The sequence below is a fragment of the Homo sapiens genome, chromosome 4, assembly GCF_000001405.40.
Source record: "Homo sapiens chromosome 4, GRCh38.p14 Primary Assembly".
Classification (NCBI taxonomy): Eukaryota; Metazoa; Chordata; class Mammalia; order Primates; family Hominidae; genus Homo; species Homo sapiens.
In genome coordinates, this window is record NC_000004.12 from 49,330,473 (window position 1) to 49,336,924 (window position 6,452).

General features: G+C 53.7%; 2 annotated features.

The window, feature by feature from the left end:
- Positions 3,921–4,421: an enhancer, noted in NCBI's record as "H3K27ac-H3K4me1 hESC enhancer chr4:49336410-49336910 (GRCh37/hg19 assembly coordinates)". NCBI's record gives its function as "activates a minimal SCP1, AML or CMV promoter by ChIP-STARR-seq in naive H9 embryonic stem cells {active_cell/tissue: H9 hESC(naive)}" and the evidence as "EXISTENCE:reporter gene assay evidence [ECO:0000049][PMID:30033119]".
- Positions 4,422–4,922: an enhancer, noted in NCBI's record as "H3K27ac-H3K4me1 hESC enhancer chr4:49336911-49337411 (GRCh37/hg19 assembly coordinates)". NCBI's record gives its function as "activates a minimal SCP1, AML or CMV promoter by ChIP-STARR-seq in primed H9 embryonic stem cells {active_cell/tissue: H9 hESC(primed)}" and the evidence as "EXISTENCE:reporter gene assay evidence [ECO:0000049][PMID:30033119]".

A 6,452-nucleotide genomic window follows, 5' to 3' on the forward strand; every position in this document is an offset into this window, starting at 1 on the left:
CTTCTCTAGATTCCAGCTGGAGTCAGTTCCAGGCACCCACGATACACCACCGAACTCACGAATTTCACTGACTTACTCCCCAGTCTCCCTCATGTTCTCACCCCCAGCCCTCAGGGACTCTTCTGTCTCTCTCAGCTACTCTCCAACCATCTCCAGATATCACCTGGAGTCAGCTTCCTGCACCCAGGAATCACCTACAAACTCACGGACCTTACTGCAACCCTCCACCATTTCTTTCACCTCTTCACCCCCTGCCTTCAGGGACTCTCCTGGGTCTCCCAGCTTCTCTCCAGCCTTCCCCAGATTTCTGCCACAGTCAGCCCCAGGCACCCAGGACAACCCTAGACACTCACAGGCCTCACGAGAGTATCTCCCTATGACCTGTACCTATACAGGGATGGCTCCCACGCATCCCTCAGTGACACAAAACCCATCTCCACTTACACTCAGACACTCCCAGGGCCTGACAGCTACTCCCCGTTATTGTCCTTCAGTTCGAAGTCCTGGCCAATCTACTAGCCCACATGACGCAGTTACCTGGCCATTACTCCACGGTTCCCGTGAGGGCCCCACACCCAGCCTCACAAGAGCCCCTCCTGCATTCCGTCCTCACACGCAGGCCTGTCCATCTACTTGCTACTGGCACACTCTTGCCAGCAGAAGAGGCCCCTGTCATGGCCGATATCACCACCCAGTCTATCCTCACCCCACAGCTGTGCAGCGGGACCCTCCTGCTGGCCCACGTGGCTGCCAGAGCCCATGCTGGCAAGACGCTCCAGCAGGTCGGCGTCCCTGTGGGACACACTGCCCGTGACATGGCTAGCATCACCCTCCTTCCTGGCATTGACACTGTTGATGTGAACCCCAGTTTCACATCTGTCATTTGTAAATAGGACCATTTTCCCTTTTCGCTCTCCCTTCCATTCACAGGGCTTTTCATTCTCTCTGTTTCTGCCTCCGTTTCAGATATTTACTCACCTTTTTCTCTCTCACTATGTCTGCCGTGGTCTCCATGAGAGTGCGCCACATAAGATTCCCCCATTAAAAGTCATGAATTGAGTGGCTTTTAGTATACCTGTGGTTGTGCACATTCAATTTTAATTCGCAATCCATTGTAGAACGTCTTATCACCCCCGACCAGAGAAAAACTCTGTAGACATTAGTCACTCCTCATTCTGTTTCAATCCCTCAGGGCCTGATGGGAAGGCACTTTCGTCTGTGGGGGACCCATTCCCTGCTTCTCCTTTGCGCGGTTTTTTTTTTTTTTGCTACGATAGATGCCTTTCCTCTCCTTCCTCAAATCTCACCTTCCCCTCATGTGGCTTCTGTCTGCCTTGGGGTACACCTAGCGGCCCGAGGTGCACTGTGGGATCGAACCAGGGACTCCAGGGTCCCTGAGGCCCAGCACGAGGCCTGATGGGAAGATACTTTCGTCCGTTTGGAGGACCCAGTCCCCGCTTCTCCGCGGCTGTGTTTGTTTTTCTCTGCCCCAGGTGCCTCACCTTCCCCTCTTGTGCTTTTTGCAAGCTTTGGGGTACCCCTAGCGGCCCAAGGCATACCCTGGGCTTGAACCATGGAAGCCAGGTTCCACAGGGTCAAGCGCAGTGGCTGATGATAAGACACGTTCTTCCTCGGGGACCCAGGCTCTGCTTCTCTGTGGCGTTTTTTTTTCTTTTCTTTTCCACAGGTGCCTCACTTTCCCGTCATGGGCTTTCTGCCCGCCTTGAGGTACCCCTAGCCGGCCCGAGGCGCACCCTTGTTTTGAGCCAGGGATGCTAGGGTCTCCGGGGCCCAGTGTAGGGCTTATGGGTAGGGACGTTCGTCCATGGGGAACCCAGGCCCCACTTCTGGTGGGCGCAGTTTTTTATTTTGTTCTCTGCCCCAGGTGTCTCACCTTTCCCTCATGGGCCTTCTGTCTGTCTTGGGGTACCCCTAGCGGCCTGAATCGCACCCTGGTCTCGAACCAGGAATGCCAGGGTCCCCTGTGCCCAGCGCAAGGGCTGATGGGAAGACACTTTCTTCCGTTGGGGATCCAGGCTCCGCTTCTCCGTGGTGCAGTTTTTTTTTTTCTGCCACAGGTGCCTCACCTCTCCTTCCTCAAACCTCAACTGCCCCTCATGGGATTTCTGCCCTCCTTGTGATACCCCTAGCAGGCCCGGGGCGCACCCGGGGCTCGAACTGGGGTCTCCAGCGTCCACAGGGCCCAGCGCAGGGACTGATGGGAAGGCATTTTCATCCTTGGGGTACCCAGGCCCAGCTTCTCCTAGGCGCGGCTTGTTTTCTTTTTTTTTTTCTGCCACAGTTTCCTCACCTCTCCTCCCTCAAACGTCAACTTCCCATCATGGGCTTTCTGCTCTACTTGGGGTACCCCTTCCGGCCCAAGGCTCTCCCTGGACTCGAACCATGGATGCCAGGGTCGCCGGGGCCTAGCGCAGGGGCTGATGGGAATGTACCTTCATCCGTGGGTACCCAGGCCCCGCTTCTCAAAGCTGCGGTTTTTTTTCTCCGCCCCTGGTGCCTCACCTTCCCCTCACTGGCCTTCTGCCTGCTTTGGGGTACCACGAGCAGGCCCGAGGCGCTCCCGGGTCTCCAATCAGGGTCGCCAGGTTCTCGGGGCTAGCGCAGGGGCTGATGGGAAGGCACTTTCATCAGTGGGGACCCAGGCCCGGCTTCTCCGAGGTGCTGATATATATATATATATATATATATTTTTCTGCCACAGGTGACTCACCTCTCCTCCCTTAAATCTCGCCTTCCCCTCATGGGCTTTCTGGCTTCCTTAGGGTACCCTAGCATGCCGGAGTCTCTTCTGGTCCTTGAACTAGGGTCGCCAGAGTCCAGGGGGCCCAGCGCAGGGGCTGATGAGAAGGCACTTTCGTCCGTGGGAGACCCAGGCCCCGCTTCTCTTCCGCACGGTTTTTTTTTTTTTCTGCCGCAGGTGCCTCACCTCTCTTCCCTCAAACCTCACCTTCCCCTCATGGGCCTTCTGCCCGTTTTGGGGTACACCTAGCGGGCCCGAGGTGCACCCAGGCCTAGAACCAGGGTCGCCTGGGTCCACGTGGCCCAGCTCAGGGACTGATGGGAAGGCACTTTTTTTCCATGGGAGACCCAGGCCCCACTTTTCCGTGGCGCGGTTTCTTTTTCTTTTCTGCCACAAGTGCCTCACCTCTCCTCCCTCACAGCTCACCTTCCTCTCATGGGCTTTCCACCGTGTTGGGGTATCCCTAGTGGCCCGAGACTCTCCCTGAGCTCCAACCAGGGACTCTAGGTTCCCCGGGGCCCAGCGCAGGGGCTGATGGGAAGGCACTTTCATCCGTGGGGTACCCAGGCCCCACCTCTCCGCGGTGCGGGTTTCTTTTTTTTCTTTTTCTGTGACAGGTGCCTCACCTCTCCTCCCTCAAAACTCACCTTCCCCTCACGGGTTTTGTGTCCCCAAAGCCCCCTTGGGGTGCACTTAGCGGCCGAGGCACACCCTGAGCTCGAACGAGGGACACCAGGGTCCCTGGGTCCCAGTGCAGGGACTGATGGGAAGACACTTTCGTCTGTGGGGCTCCCAGGCCGTGTTTCTCCGTGGTGAAGTTTTTTTTTTTCTCTGCCCTAGGTGCCTCACCTTCCCCTTAGGGGCTTTCTGCCCACCTTGGGGTACCCCTACTGTCCCGAGGCGTACCCCAGGGTCAAACCAGGGACGCCAGGGTCCCCAGGGCCCAGCGAAGGGGCTGATGGGATGGCACTTTCATCCGTGGGGGACCCAGGCACTGCTTCTCGGCTGAGCATTTTTTTTTTCTCTGCCTCAGGTGCCTCACCTTCCCCTCATGGACCTTTTCTTTGCTTTGTGGTACCCCAAGCTGTCCCGAGGCGCACCCTGGGCTCGAACCAGGGTCGCCAGGGTCCACCAGGCCCAGCATAGGGCCTGATGGGAAGGCACTTTCATCCGTGGGGGACCCAGGCCCCGCTTCTCTGAGACGCGGTCCTCTTTTTTTATTTTTTCTGCCCCTGGTGCCTCACCTCTCCTCCCACAAACTTCAACTTCCACTCATGGGCCTTCTGTCCAAGTTGGGGTACCCCTAGTCGCCTGAGGCACACCCCGGGCGTGAACCAGGGATGCCAGGGTCCCTGGGGCCCAGCGCAAGGCCTGATGGGAAAAAACTTTCGTCCCTGGATGACCCAGACACTGCTTCGCGGCGCATTTTTTTTTCTTCTTTGCCCCAGGTGTCTCACCTTCCCCTCATGGGCCTTCTGCCTCTCTGCGCCTGCGCCGGCGCTGTGGGCCTCTCTGCGCCTGCCCCGGCGCTGTGGGCCTCTCTGCGCCTGCCCCGGCGCTGTGGGCCTCTCTGCGCCTTTCGCCCGCGCTGTGCGCCTTTGCGAGGGCGGAGCTGCGTTCTTCCCAGCACAGCCAAGGAGAGCATCGCCAGGGCGGAGCTGAGTTCTCCTCTGCACAGACTTCAGAGATACAGCGAAGGCGGAGCAGTGTTCTCCTCAGCACAGACCCAGGCGGGCCGGGGGCACCGCGAGGGCGGAGCTGCGTTCTGCTCAGCACAGACCCGGGGGACACCGCTAAGGCAGAGCAGCGTTCTCCTCAGCACAGACCTTTGGGGCACTGCCTCGCTTTGGGACAACTCGGGACCGCATAGACGGTGAATAAAATCCTTCCCTTTTGCAGCCCTGAATAATCAGGGCCAGAGACCAGTTAGAAGGGCTCAGTGTGGAAAAGGGAAACCAAAAGCCCCTCTGAATCCTGCCAACCGAGGTTCTCCCCAGCCAAGCCGAGGCGGCCACAGTGCGAGATCCACACCGCAGACTCGGAAGACAAATGCAGCATTCCTAATGCAGACATGACACCCAAATTATGACACTCCCATTGCTCATGTAACAAGCACCTGTAATGCTAATGCACTGCCTCAATACAAAAATATTAATATAAGATCCGCAATCCCCTTGCTGCCATGCAGTCCTAAGACAGAGATCATAATAATCAACATTGACATAGTACAAACGTAGTAACGAACCTAGGGTTAAGGTTGGTGTTAGGGTTAGGGGTTAGGGGTTAAGTTTAGGGTTAGGGGTTGGAGATAGGGGTTGGGGTCAGAGTTAAGAGTTAAGAGTCAACGTTTAGAGTTAGAGGTTAAGAGAGGTTAGGGGTTAGGGATAAGGGGTTAGGGTTGGATTAGTGTGAGGGTGAGGGTTGTGGTTAGGGGTTAGGCTTAGGGGTTACGGTTAAGGGTTAGGGTTAGGGTCAGGGGTTAGGGGTCAGGGTCAGGGGTTAGGGATCAGGGTCAGGGGTCAGGGTCAGGTTCAGGGGTCCCACTCTGAGTTGTCCATTTAGTCTGCTGACTGTTCCTTTTGCCATGCAAAAGCTGTTTAGTTTAATTAAGTCCCAGCTATTAATCTTTGTTTTTATTTCATTTGAATTTGGGTTCTTGGTCATGAAATCCTTGCGTACGTCAATGTCTAGAAGGGTTTATCCAGTGTTATCTTCTAGAATTTTTATAGTTCAGGAATTAGATTTAAGTTCTTAATCCATCTTGAGTAGATTTTTGTATAAGATGAGAGATGAGAATCCAGTTTTATTCCCCTACATGTGGCTCGCCAATTATCCCAACATCATGTGTTGAAAAGGGGGTCCTTTCCCCACTTTATGTTTTTGTTTACTTTGTCGAAGATCAGTTGGCTGTAAGTATTTGGGTTAATTTCTGGGTTCTCTCTTCTGTTCCATTGGTCTATGTTCCTATTTTTAAACCAGTACGTTGGTGTTTTGGTAACTATGGCCTTATTGTACAGTTTGAAATCAAGTAGTGTGATACCTCCAGGTTCTTTTTGCTTAGGCTTGGTTTGGTTACATGGCTCTCTTTTGGTTCCATATTAATTTTAGAATTGTTTTTGTAATTCTGTGAAGAATGATGGTGGCATTCAGATGGGGATTGCATTGAATTTGTAGATTGCCTTTAACAGAATGGTAATTTTCACAATATTGGTTCTACCCATCCATGAGCATGGGGATGCATTTCCATTTGTTTGTGTCATCTATGACTTCTTTTCTTTCTTGTTTTTTTTTTTTTTTTTTTTTTTTTTTTTTTTTCAGAAGGAGTTTCGCTCTTGTCGCTGAGGTGGGAGAGCAATGGTGTGATCTCGGCTCACTACAACTTCTGCCTCCCGGGTTCAAGCGATTCTCCTGCCTCAGCTTCCCGAGTAGCTCGGATTATAGGCATGTGCCACCGTGCTTGGCTCCATCTATGATTTCTTTCAGTAGCGTTTTGTAATTTTCATTGTAGCGGTCCTTTGATTCCTTTGCTAGGTATATTCCTAAGTTTTGTTTTTTTGTTGTTGTTGTTTGTCGCAGCTATTGTAAAAGGGGTTGAGTTCTTGATGTGATTCTCTGCTTGGTAGCTGTTGATGTATGGAAGAGCTACTGATTTGTGTCCATTAATCTTGTATCTGGAAACTTTGCTGAATTC